Consider the following 22,185-nt stretch of genomic DNA (forward strand, 5'->3'; position numbering starts at 1 on the left):
CAGTGGATGCTATCTAGGAGGGTCACAGAGACATGACCCAGCACCGGCCCAGTGACCTGGTGCAGGACTCAGCTCCTGAGCTTCCCTCGTCCCTAGGAAGGGAAGGAAAACACCCATTTTCATTGCTGGTGTCCTAGCTGCAAGAGCTGAGGGGAGTGGTGGCCATAGTCCAAGGAAGGCAAGAGCTGAATGGGAGAAAGGTGGTACCAATAGGCCTGCAGGCAAGAGAGGTGCAGGCCTGGGGGACCAGGGTGGACAGTAGGAGACAAGGTCAGTGGTGGGGGCTGCAGCTCAGTATGTGGCACACCCCAGCAGCCTCAGCCCAGTGGTGAGCAGCTGGGTGGGGGGCTCTGTAGGCCTCTGGGGTCTGGGAAGAGATCCCCATGCCATGCTTTCCTGACCACTGAGGCTCAGGGTCCGGGCCCATTCTTCAGTAACACCGGGGTCTGGCTGGGGAGCCCCGCCTGCTGATGAGGGCCTGTCTCCCTGTATCGCTGGCTAGGATGGGGCAGGTCTGCAGAGACACCATGAAAGGGATGCTTGCTGGCTCTTAAGGGTCTTTAATGGTTTCATTTTGTGGCCCTTCCCCCCAACCCTGGTGACTGTCCCAGCAAGCAGTCAGTAGAGGTCCCCGGAGTTCAGTGGGGGCCTGGAGATGTCGGACTTGTGAGGGAAGGGCCACTCTCCCCTTGTAACCTGTGGGGGAGGAGCTGGGTCATTCCTGTGGATTCTGCCCTGCCCCCCACCTCCCCTGCCTGTGCCACCTCTGGTACCTCTGGTGGCTGCTAGGTGGAAGCTGCAGCAAGGGGGTCCCAAGTGCAGGGCCTCTGGGTGCTACACATCTCACAGCCAGGGCGGTCTGGGGCATTGATGAAGGTGCAGGAAGGACAGGACCAGCTGGGCTGGGGGAAGAGAGACAGTTGTTGCTTCCCTGCTCTTTCCAATGCCCATGGCTGTCCTGGCCCTCCCTGCCCAGTCCCGTGCCCACCTGGAGTGGACTGGGCAGGCTGGAGGCAGCTGGCTGGGGGCCTGGGGGTAGCCCCAATGATGGGGGAAACAAGCGTCCAAGTTCCCCGTCCATCTTCTGGGGGTGCTGAGGGCTAGGTCCTGTGGCTGAGGGGGTGGAGCTCAGGACTGTGGGGCTGCACCCCACCTCCCACACCCCACCCCCATCGAGGACTGACCTGGGGCTTCTCGAGGAGCTGACAGCAAGTAGAGGAAAGCAGGGTCCCCATCCTGCCGAACCCCGTAAGAGGCAAGGCTGCGCTCAGGCACACACAGGCACCGTCCGATGACCCAGCGTTGCACGGCTGGCGGGAAACCGAGCTCTGAGAACACCTGTGGCCAGAGCATCAGGGCAGGTGATGTCACCTAGGCTCCTCTGCCCCTGGCAGGGCTCCCCAGACCCTGTGCCCACCTGCTCCTGGAGAGCTGCAACAGTGCAGTGGGGGTGGACCTGCAGGGCAACGTGTGCAGAGGACGCGGCGGATGCGGCAGAGGCAGCGTCTTCAAGTGTGACCTGCAGCCTGTGCCAGAATGTGGGTTCAGGGATGGATGGGGGACCTGGGATGGTCACGAGGACAAGGTGAAGAAGCAGCCCCAGGCCTCACCTGATGGGGCCAGGTGGGAAGCAGGCCTCCTGAAGCTGAACACTCAGGGCCACACGATGCTGGGCCAGGACGGCTGCCACTTGGGCTGCCCCCTTCTCGTCTCCACCTGCAATAGCCCGGGCCAGGCTCCCTGCCAGCTCTTCTGCAGGGTAAGGAAAGGACAGCTGTCACCACTGGGGACTATCTGCTATCCCCGAACCCCCCAACCCCCTCCCCCCACCTGTACCTCTCTCCGTCAAGTTTCCAGGGCTCCTAGGAAGATCTGCCTCAGGTGGAGGGCCCTTGAGTGTGGAGGCTTCCGGGGGACTGGGCAGGGAGACAGGGCATGCTTCTGGGCCCAAGGCTGGTGGTGAGTTGCTCTTGCTGCCTAGAGGTAAGATATGGGTGTGCTGTGCTGTGGCCTCTGTCCAGGCCTCTAGGCCCTTGGTTTTCCAGGACCTTTGCCTTCTCCCTCACCTCAGTCCATGCCAGGGCCCTGCCTCAGGCCACACTTCTAGCCACACCTTCTCCCAGCCTTGGCTCTGGCAAGACCCTCAGAGGCCCCTGCCAGACTTCTGTTAGTGCTGGAGCTGCACTTAGTTCATATTTGGGAATTAGAGCCTTTTCAAACCCTTTTGTGCCTGGCTAGGCCACCTCTCTTGGCTCTTTCTGCCAGCCAGGGATGCCTCACAGCAGAACCAAAGCAGGCCCTCAGTGGCCCTGCAGTCAGGGTGGCCTCTTGGAGCCCTTGGGGACCTCCCCTCTCCGGGCTCCCTGACCCACACCTGGGCTGCCAGCACTCCAGACAAGCCACTGCCCTGGGCGTCTTCAGAGCTGAGCACCCTGCTGACTCACCTTCTTACCCGCCCTGTGAGGCCCAGCCCACTGCAATGGGGGGGTCCCCATCCAGTGCTGACACAGCTCCCGTGGTCTCAGGCCCACTATATTCTACCATCTCCCTACTAGGATAAGCAGGGCCTTCCACGCACCCAGCGCTGTTCCTGGCCCCGGCCCCGGCCCCGGCCCCCACTGAACCTCAAGGATCACTTATACATGCTCACCTCAGGGTTTGTTTGCTGCTTCCTTGGTCACATGGTTCATGCCATGACCTTCAAATTTCACTCCAGTGTCACCTCAATGAGGCCTTCCCTGCCACCACTTTTTTTTTTTTTTGAGACGGAGTTTCACTCGTTGCCCAGGCTGGAGTGCAGTGGTGTGATCTCGGCTCACCGCAACCTCCGCCTCCTGGGTTCAGGCGATTCTCCTGCCTCAGCCTCCTGAGTAGCTGGGATCACAGGCATGCACCACCACGCCCGGCTAATTTTGTATTTTTAGTAGAGACGGGATTTCTCCATGTTGGTCAGACTGGTCTTGAACTCCCGACCTCAGGTGATCTGCCCACCTCGGCCTCCCAAAGTGCTGGGATGATAGGCGTGAGCCACCGCGCCCGGCCCCTGCCACCGTTTTAAACAGCAATCCTCCCAGCTCCACCATTCTCATTCCCACACCATCTAACAGACTTTCTTTTTTAAAAAACTCTACAGTAATTTTATTATTTTTGTTTTTTTTTTTGGAGACAGGATCTCGCTCTGTCACCCAGGCTGGAGTGCAGTGGCACGATCACAGCTCACTGCAGCCTAGAACCCCTGGGCTCAAGTGATCCTCCCATCTCAACCTCCCGAATAGCTGGGATTACAGGCAGACACGACTACACTCAGCTAATTTTTTTTTTTTTTTTTTTTTGTGAGATGGAGTCTCGCTCTGTTGCCCAGGCTGGAGTGCAGTGGTGCAATCTCGGCTCACTGCAAGCTCCACCTCCTGGGTTCACGCCCTTCTCCTGCCTCAGCCTCCCGAGTAGCTGGGACTATAGGTCCCCACCACCACACCCAGCTAATTTTTTTTTTTTTTTTTTTTTTTTAGTAGTCAGGGTTTCACCGTGTTAGCCAGGATGGTCTCGATCTCTTAACCTCATGATCTGCCCACATCGGCCTCCCAAAGTGCTGTGATTACAGGTGTGAGCCACCGTGCCCGGCCCACTCAGCTAATTTTTAAATTTTTTGTATGTTGCCCAGCCCTGTACTTATTTTATATGTCTGCCTCCTCCCCTCTAAAAATGCAAGCTCCAATAGGATGGGGATGGGAGGTTTTGTTCATGCCAAAGGAGTACCTGGGACAGGGCAGCTGCTGAATACATATGCTTGGTGAATGACTAAAGAGAGCTTAGCTCCTTTTATAAACCCTGAGTTGCTTGAGTCTCTCTTACATCACTGTCTGGCTGTCTTCCTACCCCTCTGGCAGCTCTGCTTATCTCGTTTGTGGGCTGCCCTCTATCTGGGAGCCCCATACTACCTAGTCCTTCATGTTTCTCAGTCTCAACTGCTAACTCTTCCATTTAAGCAGCCATGTGAGCCAGGGGCAGTGGCTCATGCCAATAACAGCTACTTAGGCTGAAGCAGGAGGATCACCGTAGACCAGGAGTTCAAGGCTCCAGTGAGTTAGGGTCACGCTACTGCACTCCAGTCTGGGTGAGAGAGGGAGTCTTTGTCTGCAAAAAACCTCCCAAGCAGCCATGAAACTCAGCTAATTCCATCTTCTTTTTTTTTTTTTTTTGAGATGGAGTCTTGCTCTGTCACCCAGGCTGGAGTGCAGTGGCAAGATCTCAGCTCACTGCAACCTCTGCCTCCGGGTTCAAGTGATTCTCCTGCCTCAGCCTCCCCAAGTAGCTGGGACTACAGGCACACGCCACCACGCCTGGCTAATTTTTGTATTTTTAGTAGAGACAGGGTTTCACCTTGCTGACCAGGCTGGTCTCAAACTCCTGACATCAGGTGATCACCCACCTCGGCCTCCCAAAGTGCTGGAATTACAGGCGTGAGCCACCCCACCCGGCCACTAATTCCATCTTCTAAGCATCTCTAGAAACATCCTTCTCCCCAACCCTATCTGCACCAACCCTTGCCACTGCAGAACTCTGTCTTAAGCAGGAGGTATCTGAGTCTGTCACTCTCCCACTCCTGTCACTCTCCTGCTGCTCTTGGGATGATGTCTTCTCACACAGGTCCTGACCCTGCCTGCTCTGCCTCTTCATGCTTGCCTCTCATCCTTCCTGAGGGTTAAGGAAGTGCAGGCTGAGGTTCCAGGGCTTCCTGGTGGAGGCTGCAACTTGTGCTGGCTGGGGCCTCAGATGGTGTAGGAGACTGACTCCAGCAGCCACTCCAAGTACTCCAAGCTACTCCAGGCTCCACCTACTCCCTCCTGGAAGCCTTCCCAGACATCCAGCAGTGGGGAAGGTGGATCCAACTTCCCCAACCAGGACTGGGGGGCCAAGGCTATTCCAAATTGTAATTGTATCCATTACAGGGCACTGACCATTCTGTCCTTCCACGGTGGCACCTCGGACTAGGACTGCCCACCGCTGAGCTTCCTGAGGGTTGAGGAAGTGCAGGCTGAGGGTTCCAGGCCCTCCTGGTGGAGGCTGTAGCTCGTGCTGGGTGGGGCCTCGGATGGTGTAGGAAACTGACTCCAGGGGCCACTCCAAATTAACCTGAGAAGAGGGAGAGTCCAGGCTCAGGGCGTCCCCCCGCCCTACATCGCACGAGGAGCAAAGAAATACAAGGTAACATTTATAGACCATTTACACGGTCCTAAGCCCTGTACGCCTATCATCAAATCCTCACAATAGCCCTGTAAAGTAGGTCCAGGTAGGTCCCAGTAGGTCCGAGCGTCACCCCCATTTCACGGACGAGAAAACAGAAGCAAAGAAACATAACTGCTTAAGGGCACCCAGGTGGCAAGCGGAGGGGCCTAACTTTGGGCTCCGTGCCCTGCCCGGGCCAAGAGGACTGACCGCGCGCCCTCCGCCCCCACTCACCGCCCCAGGTCCCGCGCCCAGCAGCTCCAGCCGGAAGCGCCCAGGCCGCTCAGGGTCCGCGCTCAGCTGCAGCCTCCGCAGCTGTGCCTCGGCGTCTGGCCCGGCGCCCAGCGGCCTCACCGCGGCGTGCACAGCCAAGAGCACTGCGGCGGAGCCCAAGTCCGAGGCCGCCGCCGCCGCCCCGCCCGCTGGCGGCGCCATCTCCGGTCCGGCCGGGTCCCACCCCTCCGAGCGCGCTTCCGTGGGATCGGGCCGCTGAGCCCCCTCCGCCGGTCGGAAACACGGGCCGCGAACCTGGGGTTCCGGGCGCGCCCAGAGCGTCGGGCCTGGGACGGCGCCGAGTGGTGCACTCTGGCCAAGCCTGCCCCGCTGGCTTTGCCCACAAATGGACACGGCCCGAGGGTCTCCGGACACCGGCTGGGCGAGGCTGGCGGCGTGTACGAGGCTGGGGCAGGGCGGCCGAGGCGCTCACGTTAGAGCTGGTCTTTGGGGGCGAAGGGTCAGGGGGCGAAGCACCGGCCACAACTGAAGGCGGACGCGGCCTCTTCGCCCCAGGGGCTCGGCGGACGTAGATGCATCCAGCGTGCGACTATCCCAGCGCCTAACGGCAGCTGGACTTCGCTCCCGGGACCTCCAATGGGCTGCCACCTTCGCCCGCAGACCCCAGCCCCCGCCACGCCCACACGTCGCACTAGGTTGGCCCGCGCCTCACTGGTTACGGGGTCGACCCCCCTAGGGGGCGGAGCTAGAGAGGCCACGGCCAATGAACGCCGGGGGTAAGCGGGTTAGTACGACGAGAAGAGTGACAGACAGGCTCCATAACCAGTAGACGTAGAAGGCAGAACTGAGTGGCGGGTACGGCACCCGATGGCTATTCGAGCTCTCGATCTCGGAGACTGGAGCGGGCCATTCAGAGGCGCGGGGCCGGGCCCGGCGGACGCTTGTTGTTGTCCGGCCGGGGGAGGCGGAGGTCGCTCGCTCGCTCGCTCGGCTCGCTGACTCGCCGGAGCGCTCTGTGGCGGTCGGCGGCAGGTCGGTCGCGAGAGCGGGCTCTGTGGAAGGGGGCGAGGCTATGTCGCGGTGGCAGCCCGGATGGGCCGGCAGGGCCGGGAGTAACGGGACGTCGCCGCGGAGCTTCTTCCCCCGGATACAGTGCGGCCCGAGCGGAGGCCGCGGCGCCGCCCTCCGATCTTGAAGAGCCCGCGCTGCGCGGAGCCCGCCCCCGCCTGCGCACCGGCACCGACGCGGAGCGACCCAGCCCAGCCAGACCCGGCCCGGCGCGGCCTGATCTAACCCAGCCAGGCAGGTGGGTGTCCGCCCTGCGTCCCGCGCCGTCTGCGTACCCGGAACCACAGCCCCCAGCAGGCCTCGCGCGGCGCGCTGCCTCCTGGGATTTGTAGTTCCACCGCGGCTTGGCTGGTGCCCGACGTGGCCCAGGCGGGCGCTGCCTGGTGACTGCAGCGCCCCAGCGGGGCCGAGGGACCGCCCTCCTAGGCGTCTGGAGAAACTAGGCAATTTTTCCGGGTAGAGTGGAGGAACCTGTAGTTTTCCTCTCCCCGGGCCAGAAAGTAGCCAAAACGAAAGAGCGCCCGCCCAGGTGACCGCAGGGCCCGGAGTCCCAGGTGTCCTGGTTCCTAACCGGGATGCAGCCTCTTACCTTGGCTGAGGAGCCCAGCCAGCCTGAGGGAGACTGCAGGAGTCACGTCCCGTTGCGGACTCAAGAGTTACCCCCATGGTGGCTGGAGCTCTTTTGGAGTGGGCGTGGAGATGGGGAATGGGAATGTTGAGCAACAATCTCAGCCAGCAGCCCCAGGGTGAGCAGGGTCCCCGGTGGTCTAGTCTAGTCCCAGAACTCGCGTGTTCTGCAGGGGGTATGGCTGACCTGGAGCCTGGACTTACCACCCTCAGGTAAAACAGGATCTCTGTCACCTCTCCTGGCCGGGCAGAGAGGGGAGCTCCTGATGTGCAGCCTGGACAGAGGCCAGACTCAGCTTGTTCCTAGCGGCTCCACTTAGTGGGTAGGAGGGCTGAAGGCAGGGCCCCAAGGGGCCAGATAGATACCCATGGTCTGGTCTCTCACTCCCCAGGCAATACTAGCCCCTCTGGAGCACGGAGCTCCTTCCCCAAAGACATGAAGCTATTGGAGAACTCGAGCTTTGAAGCCATCAACTCACAGCTGACTGTGGAGACTGGAGATGCCCACATCATTGGCAGGTGAGGCAGGCTGGGGGGGCTGGCATCTCGGAGGTCACACTGCCGCGCCCTTCAGTGGAACCTGGGGGAAGCATGCTTCATGGTTCTCTCTGCATCCTATAGGATTGAGAGCTACTCATGTAAGATGGCAGGAGACGACAAACACATGTTCAAGCAGTTCTGCCAGGAGGGCCAGCCCCACGTGCTGGAGGCACTTTCTCCACCCCAGACTTCAGGACTGAGCCCCAGCAGGTGAGCCATGGTGGGGCCTACCTGGGGCTGGGGGTTGAGGGGAGGTGATGGGCCCAGCTGATGGTTCTGTCTGTGCAGACTCAGCAAAAGCCAAGGCGGTGAGGAGGAGGGCCCCCTCAGTGACAAGTGCAGCCGCAAGACCCTCTTCTACCTGATTGCCACGCTCAATGAGTCCTTCAGGCCTGACTATGACTTCAGCACAGCCCGCAGCCATGAGTTCAGCCGGGAGCCCAGCCTTAGCTGGGTGAGGGTCAGGTGGAGGGAAGGGACCCACAGCCACCCCACTGTCCTTCCCCACTTTGGGTAGCCCTGGGCTCCTGTCACCCTGACTGTGACCTGCCCTAGGTGGTGAATGCAGTCAACTGCAGTCTGTTCTCAGCTGTGCGGGAGGACTTCAAGGATCTGAAACCACAGCTGTGGAACGCGGTGGACGAGGAGATCTGCCTGGCTGAATGTGACATCTACAGGTGGGCCGGCATCCCTGCAGATGGCCTCCAGGCCTCCAGGTTTGTGGGGCACTTGGCGCCTCACACCACCTGTCACCCTATACTCCCCAGCTATAACCCAGACTTGGACTCAGATCCCTTCGGGGAGGATGGTAGCCTCTGGTCCTTCAACTACTTCTTCTACAACAAGCGGCTCAAGCGAATCGTCTTCTTTAGCTGCCGTTCCATCAGGTGGGCACCCCCCGCCTCCTCCCCCACCTCCCTGTTGGGCCGATACAACTTCCCCAGCTGTGCCATCTCCACCCAGCTTTGCCCTCCCTGAACATCCTCCCTGGGGCCAGCAGCAGGCCTGGGTAGGGGTCCTGAAACTGGTTTCCCTGCCTCCCCTCAGTGGCTCCACCTACACACCCTCAGAGGCAGGCAACGAGCTGGACATGGAGCTGGGGGAGGAGGAGGTGGAGGAAGAAAGCAGAAGCGGGGGCAGTGGGGCCGAGGAGACCAGCACCATGGAGGAGGACAGGTGTGTGATGGGGGCCATGACCCGGGTCCTTGAAGCCTGGAGTGGGTACAACAGGGTGGGGGCCTCCTCTACTTGGTCTAAGTGGTGGCTCCTGAAGGCCCACTGTGTGCCAACCTCCGCCCAGGGTCCCAGTGATCTGTATTTGATGAGGAGGAGCCGAGGCCCCAGCTTCATCCAGCTTCAACCAATGCCTGGACCTGTCCACCTGAGAGGCCCCTGGGGCCTCCCCAGCTGCTGGCCAGACCCTGGCGCTGCCACAGTCCTGGCACTGCCCAAGGCCATACCTGCCTAGCCCTTTGGCTCCATCCTGTGGATGCCCACTCACCCCTCAGACTCCTGCTGCCCATGCTGTGGCCGGACTTGTCAGCAGGGGGCCTGGTGGGAGGAGCGACTGCCCTGCCCAAATGAACTGCCACAGCAGGGACAGCTGGACCGCAGAGTTTATTTTTGTATTTCTACTGGGCCTGCACACTCCAGCCCAAAGGGTCTGTGGCCGGAGGCCCCACGAGCAGGCCCCAGCAGTCACCGGCTCTGGTCTTGGGCCGGCCCCGGTGCCCACCTGTACCCCCACCTCGCCCATTTGGCCGCGTGCACTGAGTGTCACTTTGCTGCAGCTCGTTTCTTTCCAATAAAAGTTTCTGTGACTTAGTGTGGACCTGATGCGGTGTGGGGGTGGGGCCTGCGGTGTGGGAGTGGCCGGCGGCATCTGGTATCCTAGCAACTGCCGCTGCGGGCCGTGACCGCTAAGTCCTGGGAGCTGTTGGGCTCTGGGACCGCAGTTGCTGAAATGGAGGCAGAGGTGTGGGAGGCAGAAGGCTACAACCTAGTTCTGGACTCGGACCTGTATGATGCGGATGGCTATGATGTCCCAGACCCTGGGCTGCTCACCGAAAAGAATGGTGAGGGGGCCTGGCCTCGCCCTCCGGGCATCCCGCTAGGAAGTGGGTCTCATTCGGGCTTGGGTTCCGTCCCCTGGAACAAAACTCCCCTGGGCAGTCCCTGGTAGGGCAGGGCCCCTGGAGGAGGGCTCCCCATAACCGTCAGGGTCGAGGACCTGAGGCTGTAGGTGGCAGAACTTCCAGTTCCTGCCCGCAGAGTTGACTTTCACGGAGCCGTCGCAGGTCCTGCCCTTTTTGACCAGCAGCCAACAGTGGCAAAGCCTGACCCCGCGCGCCCGCGCCCGCCGGCTGTGGCTGCTTCTGCGCACCAGCCTCCACGAAGTCGTGGAAAAGGTGCGGTGTGCCTGTCCTGCGCCTCCTGGCCTCTTTCCGGATCTGGGCCTTCCCTTAGGGGTCCCCTAGGCCGGAGTAGCCCCAACCTTTGATTGCGGGCCCGCCCACCCCGGCCCACAGGAGAAGAGAGCCGAGCTGCGCGCGGCGCGCCTGACGCATGGGCTGGAACCACTGCGCCGCCTGGAGGTGGCAGCCGGGCTGCGCTCGGTGGCGCAGGACCCGGTGGGTGGACGCTTCGTGGTGCTGGACGGCGCGGGCCGCCTGCACCTGCACAAGGAAGACGGCTGGGCACAGGAGACGCTGCTGGCGCCTGTCCGGCTTACGGGGCTGGTGACCGTGCTGGGCCCGCTGGGTGCCGTGGGCCGTTTTGTAGGCTGGGGCCCCGCGGGGCTGGCAATTCTGAGGCCCAACCTCAGCCTGCTGTGGCTGAGCGAGCAGGGGGTGGGCAGGGCCCCGGGTTGGGCGCCCACCTGCTGCCTGCCGGTTCCCGACCTCAGGCTGCTGCTCGTTGCGGAGATGAACAGCAGCCTGGCGCTCTGGCAGTTCCGTTCAGGTGGTCGCCGCCTGGTGCTGCGAGGGTCAGCACTGCACCCGCCCCCGAGCCCAACAGGCAGGCTCATGCGTCTGGCTGTGGCGCCGGTTCCTCCCCACCACGTCCTGCGCTGCTTCGCGGCCTATGGCTCGGCCGTGCTCACCTTCGATCTGCATGCCTGGACTCTCGTAGATGTGCGCCGGGATTTGCACAAAACGTGAGGGGGATCCCCCTAGGGAGGGCCAGGCATGTAGGGGCACACGGCCCTCACACACAAGGCGATGTTAAGTCCATTGGGATTCTCCCATTCCCCACCTGTAGCACCATCTCGGACCTGGCTTACTGCGAGGAAGTAGAGGCAATGGTGACAGCTTCCCGGGACAGCACCGTGAAGGTGTGGGAGGCTGACTGGCAGATCCGGATGGTGTTCGTGGGCCACACAGGTGCTCTGAGTTCTCTGCACCCCGAGCCTCGGCCCTTTGCCTCCAGCCGCTCTAGGCTGTCCAGCATCTCCGCAGCTCCGGCCAGGCCTTGCTGCGCTGACTGCAACACAGGCTGAAGGCTCCCCTGCCTTCAGTCGGCCGAGTGACCTGCACCCCTCCCACAGGCCCGGTGACGGCTATGACTGTGCTCCCGAACACGACCCTGGTGTTGTCGGCCTCGCAGGACGGGACGCTACGCACCTGGGACCTGCAGGCGGCGGCGCAGGTGGGCGAGGTAGCGCTGGGCTTCTGGGGCCAGGACAAGCTGTCCCGGCGCGTGGGCCGTCTGCTGGCGCCGGTGCGCCCGGGCTGGCCGGTGCTGTCCCTGTGCGCGAGCAGCATGCAGCTGTGGCGCGTACGCGAGCTCTACTCGCCGTTGGCGCAACTGCCCGCCAAGGTGCTCCACGTGCAGGTGGCGCCCGCGTTGCCCGCGCCTGCGCACCAGTCGCTGCCTACGCGCCTCGTGTGCGCGTGCGCCGACGGCTCGGTCTACCTCCTGTCGGCGGCCACCGGGCGCATAGTGAGCTCACTGCTGCTGGAGCCGGAGGACTGCGCGGCAGCCGTGGCCTACTGCCTGCCGCGCGAGGCGCTGTGGCTGCTGACCAGGGCTGGGCACCTGGTCCGCGCCAACGCGGCGCGCTGCCCCATGAGCGTGCTGCACCGCGTGTGCCCGCCGCCGCCCCCTGCGCCGCAGCCTTGCTGTCTGCACCTGTACAGCCACCTCACGGATCTCGAAGGCGCCTTCTCCTCCTGGGAGATCGTGCGCCAGCACTGGGGCGAGTTGCGCTGCAGCTCTGTGGCCTGCGCCTGGAAGAACAAGAACCGGTGGGTGCGGGAGCCGGCGAGGGTCTGGCGGGCGGAAGGAGCGGCAGGGTCCGCGCCAACAGGCTCTTCCCACTCGCAGGTACCTGCCAGTGGTGGGGCACACGGACGGCACGCTGTCGGTGCTGGAGTGGCTCTCGTCGAAGACTGTCTTCCAAACGGAGGCGCACAGCCCGGGCCCGGTTGTCGCCATCGCATCCACCTGGAACAGCATTGTGTCTTCGGGTCAGTAGCTCCCCTGCCAAAGGCCAGGCCGCCACAGAGCCCCCTCCCCTCCGACAAGGCCCAGCCAGATTCCGCTGCCCACAGGTGGGGACCTGACGGTGAAGATGTGGCGCGTCTTCCCCTATGCCGAAGAGAGCCTGAGCCTGCTGCGCACCTTCTCCTGCTGCTACCCGGCCGTGGCGCTCTGTGCGCTAGGCAGACGCGTCACCGCGGGCTTTGAGGACCCAGACAGCGCTACCTACGGCCTGGTGCAGTTTGGCCTGGGCGACAGTCCGCGATTAGACCACCGGCCCCAGGACGACCCCACGGACCACATCACTGGTGAGGGGGCAGCATGGGTGAAGCCCAGCCACCGCCCAGCTCCGGTTCCTGACCCTGAACCCTGCCGCCAGGCCTGTGCTGCTGCCCCACGCTCAAACTGTATGCCTGCTCCAGCCTGGACTGCACCGTTCGCATCTGGACTGCTGAGAACCGCCTCCTGCGGTAGGCTAGGAGGTGGGGAGGGCTGGGGTCTCCTACCTCTGCTCCTCACCAGAGCCCACTGGCTGGACTGAGTGGAGAAGGCCTTGTCCCTGCTGAGCCTCGGCTGCCCTGGGTGCCTCTCCAGGCTCCTGCAGCTGAATGGTGCCCCTCAGGCCCTGGCTTTCTGCAGCAACAGTGGAGACCTGGTGCTGGCGCTGGGATCCCGCCTCTGCCTGGTGTCCCACAGGCTCTACCTGCCTACATCCTACCTAGTTAAGGTGTGTGGTGAGGACAGAGTGAGCAAGGTGGGCCCCCCTTGCTCACCTTGGGGGGCAGACCCAGGTTCCCCCAGCCAGGGATACAGGCTCCTTCCCCTATTCAGAAGATGTGCCGGAAGGCCCCAGACGTGGTGGACGACCCTCCGCTGCCACTGATGAGCCAGGAGTCACTGACTTCCGCCCAACTGCAGAGGCTCACCAACCTCCATGGGGCAGCCAGCCTCAGGTCCCATGCAGGCCTGCTCAGCCCTCCTGGAGGCCCTCCTTTCCCACTCTGGGTGGGGGCCTGGCGGTGTGGGGCCCTCTGGAGTTGATACAAGCCTGCCTGAGCCCTGGCACACCCGTTTGGGGTTGGTCCTTGTCCCAGCCTCTGCCCCAGCCCACTGGCATGCCACCCAGCATCCCACCTGTGCCTGTCCCTGTTTGCAGCGAGGCCTTGTCTCTCATCCATCGTCGGAGGGCAACATCTCAGCACCTGGTGCCGAAGGAGGTGGGGTGGGTCCTCCTTAGCCCGCCCTGCCCCGGCTCAGGCCCCAGCCGTCAGCCCTGGGGCAGGCCTGGGATCCCCATGGTTGCCCGGGCAGCACATAGCAAGGCTCAAGGAAGAGCAGGCTGATCCCTGAACCCTGACTCAGGACTTGGACGCCATAGTGGCCCGGGACCGAGACCTTCAGCAGTTGAGGCTGGGGCTAGTGGTCCCAGCAGCCCAGCCCCCACCCTCCTGGCAGCAGCGCCAGGAAGGCTTTGACAATTACCTCCGTCTGATCTACGGCTCTGGCCTGCTGGTAGGTGTAGGGCCTCCCCCAGCCCAGCCCTGACCCTGGCCCCTCTTCTCCACCCACCCCTCCCACCTGGTCTCTGATGGTCTGTCTGCTCCTGCTACCTCCCAGGGCATGCAGTCTGGAAGGGGGTCCCAGCAGTGGAGTGCCGGGACCCTCAGAGTGGAGAGAGAGACCCGGGATGTGTGTGCTGTACCCCAAGCTGCCCACTGTCTTGCCCGGGCTGAGGTCAGCACTGCAGCCCAAACAGTGCCAACAGCCCTGTCCCCACAGGACCTGGGAGCCCTGGGCCAGCACTTCTCCCAGTCTCCCCGAGTCACAGTGCCGATCCCACCCACCCACCGTAGGGTGCACAGCAAGGCATCCCAGGTGAGGCTTCCCACCCTCCCACATGCCTGCTGGGCCCCCATGACCCCTCTGCCACCCTGTGACTCCTCCTATGCCCCAGCTTCTGGCCCGCTCCTCACTGAGCCACTACCTGGGCATCAGTCTGGATCTGCAGCTGCAGTTGGAGCAGCTCCGAGGGAGGACGACCATGGCCCTGGACCTGCCATCCTCCCACTTGCAGTGCAGGGTGAGGGACCCAGGCAGGTGGGGTACCACCTACTGAGGGGCAGAGCTGCCGGGGTGCTAGGGGCTGTGTTGTTCTGAGCCCCCATTCCATCCCCCAGATCCCACTGCTGCCAAAGAGATGGGACAAGGAACCTCTCTCTAGCCTCAGGGGCTTCTTTCCTGCCACCGTGCAGCCCCACAAGGTGAGACCCCCTCCCAGCTCCTGGAGAGCCACTCCTCTCCAGGCATCACTCTTGTGCCTGCCATCTCCCCTTTGCTACAAATCTTTGTGTCCAAATCTGACCCAAGGGCCATGCCCACCTACAACCAGAGGGCCAGGCTGTAGCCTCCCACGCACCCCTCACCCCTCACCCTTCACCCTCTGTCTAGCCCTGTTCCAGTACAGCTGTGTTTGTGGCCACAGGCTCCTTGCTGCTCTGGGAGCTGACATCAGGCAAAGCCAGTCCCCCCAGCCGGTTATGCCACACACCCCTTTCCCCCGTGGAGGCGCTGGGAGGGCAGGTCCCCTAGGGACTTTTCCTGGAAGATCAGAATCCCTGCCCTTTAGAGGAGCAAAGTCAAGGGAACCTGGCCCTTTAGAATCCACTGTCTTCCCACCCTCACGTACACCAGGTGCCCAGGCAGGCCTCAGCCCCTCCCCCAGCATATTCCTGGCACTGTCACCTGCCCAGGTGGGTAATTGACTCTTTGGGCCTGGGTGCCACCATCATGCTCTTCATTGCCCTTTCTCCAAGCTCCTTCCTTCCTCCCTGGCCCCTGTGCTTCTTTTAGACTTTCTTGTCCCAGGGCTGGGGCCAAGTCCTGTAAGGAGCTTGCAGGGTGTCAGGGCCCCTAGAAGCCAGCACTTCTCCAGGTTTCCCTTCTCGTTTGTCAGAGCTGATGCTCACTGAGGGCCTCGCCCCTGGTATCTCAGGGTTCTCCTGCCATCTGTGTTGAGAGTAGGGGTTGCTAGCTCAGCCAGCTCTCGGAGGCCTGGCAGGCAGAGCTGGACTGGCGGCTGAGGGGCTCTGAGAGGTTATACAGGTGACCAAGGGTGGTGTCCAGGCTGGGGAATCCAGGTCCTCAGCATTCCCTGCTGTGCCCACCTCCAGCACTGCCTGAGGCCCATCTGCTTCCCCGGCTATGTGCCCAACTCCGCGGTGCTACAGCAGATGTGGCTAAATGCGGAGGTCAGCAGCCTCGGATCCCCGACTCAGCTCGCCTCCCAGAGAAAGCTCGAGGCAAGGGGCAGGGCTGGGGGTTTTGCCGGCAGGGGAGGGCTCTGCTGTCCTTGCAACCCATCAGGCACCATCTCTTGCCCCTCTGCAGCCAGGGGCAAGCCAGGATGCCCTGTGGTTGTGGCGCCCCAGGCCATCCCAAACCCAGTGGCAGAGGAAGCTGCTCCAATGGATGGGGGAGAAGCCTGGGGAGGAGGGGGAGGAAGACAAGAAGGAAGAGGAGGAGGAGAAGGAAGACGAGGAGCTGGACTGGGCCTTGGCTTCCCTGAGCCCGCACTCCAACCAGCAGCTGGATTCCTGGGAACTGGAGGATCAGGTAGAGGCTCAGGCAGAGGCCCCAGGCCACCACGGGAGGTGGGCTTACACTGAGACCCAGACAGGTGGGACCTGCAGCCACTGCTGCTCCCCTAGAGTGCTGTGGACTGGACCCAGGAGCCCCGGCGGCGCAGCTGCAAGGTTGCCAGGACCCACCCTCATCCCTGGCACCGTCATGGGAGTTTGCTCTTGGATGAGCATTACGGGCATCTGCCCAAGTTTCTGCATTTCTTCATCTACCAGACCTGGTTCAAAAAGTTGTTCCCCATCTTCAGCCTGCAGGTTGGAGGGAACTGGGGATGCATGAGAAGCATGGGTTAGGGTGAGGGACAGGGGAGAAGGTAGGGGCTGGCTTGGGTGTGACATGGGAGCAGGGCCTCAGCATGCTACCCTGCAGGCATACCCGGAGGCGGGCACGATCGAGGGCCTGGCCTCGCTGTTGGTGGCCCTGCTGGAGAAGACCACGTGGGTCGACCGTGTGCACATCCTGCAGGTGCTACTGAGACTGCTGCCCAACATGAGCAGTGATCTCCAAGGCCAGCTGCAGGGCCTGCTCGTACACTTGCTCAACCTGGACCAGCCCCCCAGCCTCCAGGTGTGCCCCTTGTCCTGCCCCCAGTTTTCCTCCCCGCCCACCGGCCCTCAGCAACCACATCCCCACCGCCTGCCTCAGGACCAGACACAGAAGAAGTTCGTGATACTGGCGCTGCAGCTGCTCCTGGCCTGCTCCCTGGAGTCCCGGGATGTGGTGCTGGAGCTCATGTCCTACTTCCTCTACTCTCCCGTGCACTGCCGGTGAGTTGCGCTCCTGCCCAGCCCTCCCTGCCACTGGGAAGGCCTCTGGACAAGCCACATGCACCTGTCCCAGGCCAGAGCTCAAGAAGCTGCTGCACGGGCTGGGCCTTCAGGACCCAGAGGGCTTCCTATTCAAGGAGATGATGACCTGGGTCCAGGGCCCAGACCTGGACTCCAAGGCCGGCCTGCGCACTTGCTGCCACCAGAAACTGGAGGACATGATCCAGGAGCTTCAGGTTGGGCCGGCAGGGGCCGGGGGGGCCTTGGGAACCCTGTTGCCTTCTCTGGCTTTCTGCAAGTCCTGGGGTCAAAGCCAGCTGAGGCCACAGGCTCCTTCCTTGCCTTGCCCAGTCCTGGGCCTCCAGCCTCCCTGCCCTGAGCATCTCTAGGGATTTCCCTGTGCAGCTGGAAGTCAGCAGGGGGTGTCTGGCCCGAACCAGGGACAGCCCTGGGACCTCCTTGTCAGGGGAGTGGCAGCCCCTGCCTTGGGCTGAGCATCGGGCAGAAGGGAGTTTCAGTGGCCATGTGGATGCTCGAGGAGCCAGGGTGCTTGGCCATGGGTCACCTCCTGACAGATGGAAAGCTCGCAGCCACTGTCTGCAGCCAAGTTGCTGGTGGTGCTGCCCAAGGTCTCTAAGACCTTAGCACTTTCCTCTCCTCCCAAGGAGACCCCATCGCAGACGTCAGTGGTCTCTGGGGCACCCACACGCGCCTCCGTGATACCCTCGGGCACCTCCTGGTCGGCCTCCGGCATCTTCGGGAGGCTCTCGCAGGTCTCAGAGGTGCCTTTGATGGTGGTCTCACCTGCGGAGCCGCACTCTTTAGCCCCGGAGCTCCAGGCCCAGCGGATGCTGGCACCCAAGCGCAGCTGGGGGACCCCTCAGCTCCGTCTCAGAGTGCTCTCCGAGACGCTGAAGAGCTTCTGCCTGGAGCCCGAGGCCCGCCTGCACCCTGCCGGGCCTGCTCAGCTGCCCGGAGAGCCGCCGCCGCTGGAGGAGACCGACTGGTCGCACTCGCAGCTGCTGGACTTGGGCCCCATCGACGCGCTCAACTTCTTCTGTGAGCAGCTGCGGGCGCAGCAGCGGAGTTCGCTCCAGGAGAAGGCTGCGCACCCACACCCGCCAGAGCCCTACACGGTGGCGCCGGTGCCCGACATGGTGGTGCCACCTCCGCGGGAGCACTGGTGCGCGGGGCCTGCGCCGGCGGGGCCTGCGTGGGGCAGCCAAGCGTGGGGCTGGGCCAGCTGAACCCTCCTCTTTGCCTCCAGGTACCACCCCATCCTCCGGCTGCAGGAGGCCAAGCCGCAGAGGTCCGCGAGGTCCGCGATGAGACTGAGGGGTGAGTGGAGCCAGGGGTGGAGACTGGACCCCACCCACCCCAGCCCCCGGGCCTCATAAGCCTCCGCCCGCCCCCAGGCCCCATGCGGTCCCGGCTCTGTGCGGGCCGCACCCTGGACGGCCCCATCCGGACGCTGAAGCTGCCGTTGCCGCGTGTGGAGCCGCAGCCTTTCCCCCTGGACTGGCCTATGCCCCCGCGCCCGCTGCCCCCGCGGCTCCTGCAGCCGGCCCTGCAGCGCTACTTTCTGCCAGCGGACGCGGACCCTGACACCTACAGCTGACCGGACTGGTGGCCTCAGCCCGCCTGGCTCTGGGGCCTGTCATTGGTATTTGGCCAAGGCCTGCATCGGGAATAAAGTCCAGAGAATTTCTTTCTGCAGGATGCCGCCTGCTTTGGAGGGCCCCGGGGTGCGCACGGCGTGTGGGCGTGCGGCCTGAACCCACAGTGGCGGCGGAAGGCAGGAGCCGGAGGCCTGGCGGAGGTGGCCATCGTGGGCACCAGCGTTCCCGGAGGGGTGGCCGGCCTAGGGCAGAGGAGACCCATAGCGGGGTACCATCCGCTGGGCACTGAGCAAACGTTTTCTGCTCAAGTACTAGGTGTTGAGATGCGGGCTGACCTTAGAGAACGTGTCCTGGGCCAGCCCACAGCCTGGTGTGGAGGGGAGTCCGGGAGGGCCTGGGCGGTCCCAGGATGAGCCTTCCGGGTCGATGCAGGTGAGACCAGGAGTTTGCAGACCTTGCTTTCGTTACTTTTATTCTGGCAAAGAGAAGAATTGACAAAGGCACCAGGAGCTTTTTTCTGAGCGGCAACGCAGAGCATCCTCTGACCCCTTTAGCCTGAAAGTCCCTAGGGGAGGGGCTTGGTCCGGAAGGGCTCGGCCTCTGGGCCGGGCCCCTCTGCCCTGTGTGGCCTGGCAGGGCGCAAGACCTGTGCACAGAGTTCTTGGGGCAGCTCTGGGGGGAATCCCCGGCTTTTACACCTGTCTTTTGTGTTGTCTGAGCAGTGATTTCCCTCCTGTATCTGTAGCCTCTGACTTTACTAGTTTCTTCTTGATGGCTCTGGTTAGAATCGCTTCTCCACACCTTCCCTGTCACCCCAAACTGTGCGGTGGCTCTTGTTATGGGGCCACCAAATGGCTGCTCTTTCCCAGGCCGGTGCTTGACACAGTGGTGCCACCATCCCAAGAGCATGGGTGCGCAGGACCGTGCGGGACAGCCAAGTTGCTGGGCCCAGCTGAACCTGCCTCTTCACCTCCAGGCACTACCGCATCCTCCCACTGCAGAAGGCCAAGGTTCACAGGTGTGCGATGAGACTGAGGACTGAGTCTGTCACTAGAGGACTTGACACTTTTTATAAAAAAAATGAGTAAACCTAGATACCTCGATCAGTGTCTAGCGATGTCAAGGCCCCCAGTTTGGGTTCAAGCCTGCTGGGACAGTCCTGCAGCTGCTGGGTCACAGAGTGGCCAAGGCCCTCTGATTTTTGGTCAGGACACAGAAAGATAGCAGGGGGCAGGGGGGGATCTGAGGGACCCCACATGACTTACAATCAGACAAGGTAGGTCAGAGGATTTCTTTATGGCTATCTGTTTTGTTTTGTTTTGTTTTGTTTTGTTTTTTGAGATGGAGTTTCAGTCTTGTTGCCCAGGCTGGAGTGCAATGGCGTGATCTCGGCTCACTGCAACCTCTGCCTCCCGGATTCAAGCAATTCTCCTTCCTCAGCCTCCTGAGTAGCTGGGATTACAGGCATGTGCCACCACGCCCAGCTAATTTTGTATTTTTAGTAGAGATGGGGTTTCATCACGTTGACCAGGCTGGTCTCGAACTCCTGACCTCAGGTGATCCGCCTGCCTCAGCCTCTCAAAGTGCTGGGATTACAAGCATGAGCCACTGTGCCCAGCCTTCTTTATGGCTATCTCCAAGACAGCAAAGGCAGGGGAAAGTCCTGCCTTGGGGAGAAAAAGGAGGGTGGGAAAAGGTCAAAGAGAAAGATGCTGTTGTCTGAGTCTTGCCTCTGAGGCCTAAGTTCCCCAACATTATAACAAGGGATATGGGAGTTATAAGCCAGGAACTGTGGATGGAAACCAATGACAGATATCATAATATCACACCCACACATCAGGCAAGAGACTTGTTCCTTAAAAATTATCTAGTTTAGCCGAGCGTGGTGGCTCACACCTGTAATCCCAGCTACTTGGGAGGCTGAGGCAGGAGAATCACTTGAACCCAGGAGGTGGAGGTTGCAGCAAGCAGAGATCACACCACTGCACTACAGCCTCGGCAATAGAGCGAGACTCTGTGTCAAAAAAAAAAAAATTATCTAGTTTAGGCCGGGTGTGGTGGCTCACGCCTGTAATCCCAGCACTTTGGGAGGCTGAGGCAGGCAGATCACTTGAGGTCAAGAGTTTGAGACCAGCCTGGCCAACATGATAAAACCCTGTCTCTACTAAAAACACAAAAATTAGCTGGGTGTGGTGGCACATGCCTGTAGTCTCAGCTACTCGGGAGGCTGAGGCAGGAGAATTGCTTGAACCCGGGAGGCGGAGGTTGCAGTGAGCCGAGATCACACAATTGCCCTCCAGCCTAGGTGACAAGAGCAAGACCATGTCTCAAAAAAAGAAAAAAAAAAAAGGGCCGGTCTTGGTGGCTCATGCCTGTAATCCCAGCACTCTGGGAAGTGGAGGCGGGCAGATCACCTGAGGTCAGGAGTTCAAGACCAGCCAGACCAACATGGAGAAACCCCGTCTCTACTAAAAATACAAAATTAGCCAGGTGTGGTGGCGCATGCCTGTGATCCCAGCTACTCGGGAGGCTGAGACAGGAGAATCGTTTGAACCTGGAAGGCGGAGGTTGTAGTGAACCTACATCGCGCCATTGCACTCCAGCCTGGGCAACAAGAATGAAACTCTGTCTCAAACCGCCCCCTCCCGCCGCACACACACACACACACCAAAAAAAAAAAACAAAAAAACAGCCTGGCCAACATGGTGAAACCCTATCTCTACTAAAAATACAAAAATTAGCCAGGCATGGTGGTACACGCCTGTAGTCCCAGCTACTCAGGAGGCTGAGGTGGGAGAATCGCTGGAACCCGGGAGGCTGAGGTTGCAGTGAGCCAAGATCGCGCCACTGCACTCCAGCCTGGCTGACAAAGTGAGACTCTGTCTCAAAAAAAAGAAAAAAGAGAAAAACTTCCTGTGGTGTGATTACCTCTCCTTTATGGAAACTCATTTAGATATCATGGAAGTCTAACCTGACGAAAAAGAGTGCTTGAATTTAATAAGACACAGGAAGAATGCGTGTCCAAGTTTATAAGGCTACGCTACATTATAGAGGAATGTAAACAAGAAAACTAGTACCTTGAGGAGAACACGTGGCTCTTAGCCACAGCTCTGGAACACTGCTCTGCGCCAACACCTGGCCCACCCAAGTGGTCCCCAAGCAGTAGGGGCTCTGCAGGGGGAGCTGACCATTGCAGTGACCAGATGGCACCAGAGGGAATGTGACGGGGAAATATCCAGGTGGAGCTAATGCCTGCCGTGATAAGTTGGCCTCTTCCTTTTGTTCTTCAGGCCTACCGGTGGCAGCTGCTCCCTCTAATTTTTCCCTTGCTGGTTCCTATTTCTGTTATTCATCTGTCACCTGTGTAATCAAGTTCTTGAATTAAATTCTGTCTGTCAAAAGGGTGGTCACTATATTTCTGACTAGGGGATCCTGGTGAATCCTGGGAAAGCTGTTGTTCTTTTGGATGCTAGACTTGTATGTGGTTACCTAGTTGAACCTACTTATTCGTCCAAACAATATCTCGACTATCTTGTATTTCCTAAGCAGACAATCACAGCTTTGGCAAATAATGATGATTTCTCCTTTTGTAAAATATACATCTTATTTCCTTTTTGCTTTGGCAAGGACTACCAAAATAATATTAAAGACTATCAATTAAGGCCGAGGCTGGTGGATCATTTGAGGTCAGGAGTTTGAGACCAGCCTGACCAACATGGTGAAACTCCGTCTCTACTAAAAATACAAGAAAATTAGCCGGCCATGGTGGCACATGCCTGTAGTCTCAGCTACTCGGAAGGCTGAGGCAGGAGAATCGCTTGAACCCAGGAGGCGGAGGTTGCAGTGAGCCGAGATCTTGCCACTGCACTCCAGCCTGGGTGACAGAGCGATACCCCGTCTCGAAAAAAAGAAAAAAAAAGTATCAATTATAGCAGCTTTTTTTTTTTTTTTTTTTTAATGAGACAGGGTCTCACTTTGTTACT

At 60.9% G+C, this 22,185-nt stretch overlaps 3 protein-coding genes across 17 annotated transcripts, besides 7 other annotated features; 2 read left to right on the top strand and 1 right to left on the bottom strand.

Annotated features, from left to right (window-relative positions):
- Nucleotides 545–5,681, bottom strand: SHARPIN (SHANK associated RH domain interactor). 5 transcript variants are annotated; one of them, NM_030974.4, is made up of 9 exons: nt 5,461–5,681; nt 4,959–5,133; nt 1,837–1,977; nt 1,611–1,752; nt 1,418–1,526; nt 1,185–1,338; nt 989–1,113; nt 774–902; nt 545–696 (listed from the first exon to the last, which is right to left on the bottom strand). In NM_030974.4, exons 1-8 carry the CDS (start codon nt 5,659–5,661, stop codon nt 786–788), a joined length of 1,164 nt encoding a protein of 387 aa, NP_112236.3. In that variant the 5' UTR covers nt 5,662–5,681; the 3' UTR covers nt 545–696; nt 774–785. The 5 variants fall into 5 exon arrangements, 4 of the variants coding, with proteins under 4 accessions (NP_112236.3, XP_047278245.1, XP_016869377.1 ...); NR_038270.2 differs by lacking the exon at nt 989–1,113; XM_047422289.1 differs by having other exon boundaries at nt 545–902.
- Nucleotides 5,423–5,522: a silencer, noted in NCBI's record as "silent region_19656". NCBI's record gives its function as "represses an Ori minimal core promoter by ATAC-STARR-seq in GM12878 lymphoblastoid cells {active_cell/tissue: GM12878}" and the evidence as "EXISTENCE:reporter gene assay evidence [ECO:0000049][PMID:35858748]".
- Nucleotides 5,533–5,812: a silencer, noted in NCBI's record as "silent region_19657". NCBI's record gives its function as "represses an Ori minimal core promoter by ATAC-STARR-seq in GM12878 lymphoblastoid cells {active_cell/tissue: GM12878}" and the evidence as "EXISTENCE:reporter gene assay evidence [ECO:0000049][PMID:35858748]".
- Nucleotides 5,873–5,922: an enhancer, noted in NCBI's record as "active region_28089". NCBI's record gives its function as "activates an Ori minimal core promoter by ATAC-STARR-seq in GM12878 lymphoblastoid cells {active_cell/tissue: GM12878}" and the evidence as "EXISTENCE:reporter gene assay evidence [ECO:0000049][PMID:35858748]".
- MAF1 (MAF1 negative regulator of RNA polymerase III) lies at nt 6,369–9,519 on the top strand. The gene is made up of 8 exons (NM_032272.5): nt 6,369–6,766; nt 7,548–7,674; nt 7,777–7,905; nt 7,984–8,149; nt 8,251–8,372; nt 8,463–8,582; nt 8,743–8,871; nt 8,996–9,519. The coding sequence occupies exons 2-8, from the start codon at nt 7,592–7,594 to the stop codon at nt 9,015–9,017; spliced, it is 771 nt and encodes a 256-aa protein (NP_115648.2). The 5' UTR covers nt 6,369–6,766; nt 7,548–7,591; the 3' UTR covers nt 9,018–9,519.
- Nucleotides 6,573–6,812: a silencer, noted in NCBI's record as "silent region_19658". NCBI's record gives its function as "represses an Ori minimal core promoter by ATAC-STARR-seq in GM12878 lymphoblastoid cells {active_cell/tissue: GM12878}" and the evidence as "EXISTENCE:reporter gene assay evidence [ECO:0000049][PMID:35858748]".
- Nucleotides 6,573–6,968: a biological region, named in NCBI's record as "Sharpr-MPRA regulatory region 2030".
- Nucleotides 6,674–6,968: an enhancer, noted in NCBI's record as "tiled region #2030; HepG2 Activating DNase matched - State 1:Tss, and K562 Activating DNase unmatched - State 1:Tss". NCBI's record gives its function as "activates a minimal TATA promoter and a strong SV40 promoter by Sharpr-MPRA in HepG2 and K562 cells {active_cell/tissue: HepG2 | K562}" and the evidence as "EXISTENCE:reporter gene assay evidence [ECO:0000049][PMID:27701403]".
- Nucleotides 9,520–9,646: 127 nt separating the features above from the next.
- Nucleotides 9,647–20,236, top strand: WDR97 (WD repeat domain 97). 11 transcript variants are annotated; one of them, XM_047421750.1, is made up of 24 exons: nt 9,647–9,770; nt 9,967–10,103; nt 10,224–10,852; nt 10,957–11,078; nt 11,243–11,942; nt 12,022–12,164; nt 12,249–12,485; nt 12,557–12,647; nt 12,772–12,904; nt 13,009–13,130; nt 13,334–13,394; nt 13,540–13,689; nt 13,795–14,052; nt 14,132–14,257; nt 14,355–14,438; nt 15,348–15,476; nt 15,565–15,789; nt 15,885–16,070; nt 16,186–16,383; nt 16,462–16,583; nt 16,657–16,819; nt 17,249–17,766; nt 17,851–17,921; nt 17,999–20,236. In XM_047421750.1, the coding sequence occupies exons 1-24, from the start codon at nt 9,659–9,661 to the stop codon at nt 18,199–18,201; spliced, it is 4,920 nt and encodes a 1,639-aa protein (XP_047277706.1). In that variant the 5' UTR covers nt 9,647–9,658; the 3' UTR covers nt 18,202–20,236. The 11 variants fall into 11 exon arrangements, with proteins under 11 accessions (XP_047277706.1, NP_001303238.1, XP_047277704.1 ...); NM_001316309.2 differs by having other exon boundaries at nt 15,348–15,425; XM_047421748.1 differs by having other exon boundaries at nt 9,954–10,103; nt 16,186–16,583.
- Nucleotides 10,590–11,120: an enhancer, noted in NCBI's record as "H3K27ac-H3K4me1 hESC enhancer chr8:145163585-145164115 (GRCh37/hg19 assembly coordinates)". NCBI's record gives its function as "activates a minimal SCP1, AML or CMV promoter by ChIP-STARR-seq in primed H9 embryonic stem cells {active_cell/tissue: H9 hESC(primed)}" and the evidence as "EXISTENCE:reporter gene assay evidence [ECO:0000049][PMID:30033119]".
- Nucleotides 20,237–22,185: the final 1,949 nt, after the last annotated feature.

The sequence above is a fragment of the Homo sapiens genome, chromosome 8 (genome assembly GCF_000001405.40).
Source record: "Homo sapiens chromosome 8, GRCh38.p14 Primary Assembly".
Lineage (NCBI taxonomy): Eukaryota > Metazoa > Chordata > Mammalia > Primates > Hominidae > Homo > Homo sapiens.

Bases quoted from the DNA above. Each gene is read 5' to 3' on its own strand.
- SHARPIN (NM_030974.4), bottom strand. From the start codon at position 5,661: ATGGCGCCGCCAGCGGGCGGGGCGGCGGCGGCGGCCTCGGACTTGGGC. The intron at 1,978-4,958 runs GTCAGTGCCCTG...TCTTACCTCTAG, and splicing joins CACCGTGGAAGGACAGAATG to GCAGCAAGAGCAACTCACCA. The intron at 1,527-1,610 runs GTGAGGCCTGGG...ATTCTGGCACAG, and splicing joins TTCCCACCTGGCCCCATCAG to GCTGCAGGTCACACTTGAAG.
- WDR97 (XM_047421746.1), top strand. From the start codon at position 9,659: ATGGAGGCAGAGGTGTGGGAGGCAGAAGGCTACAACCTAGTTCTGGAC. The intron at 12,165-12,248 runs GTCAGTAGCTCC...CGCTGCCCACAG, and splicing joins GAACAGCATTGTGTCTTCGG to GTGGGGACCTGACGGTGAAG. The intron at 15,790-15,884 runs GTAGAGGCTCAG...CTGCTCCCCTAG, and splicing joins CCTGGGAACTGGAGGATCAG to AGTGCTGTGGACTGGACCCA.
- MAF1 (NM_032272.5), top strand. From the start codon at position 7,592: ATGAAGCTATTGGAGAACTCGAGCTTTGAAGCCATCAACTCACAGCTG. The intron at 8,583-8,742 runs GTGGGCACCCCC...GCCTCCCCTCAG, and splicing joins TTTAGCTGCCGTTCCATCAG to TGGCTCCACCTACACACCCT. The intron at 8,872-8,995 runs GTGTGTGATGGG...ACCTCCGCCCAG, and splicing joins AGCACCATGGAGGAGGACAG to GGTCCCAGTGATCTGTATTT.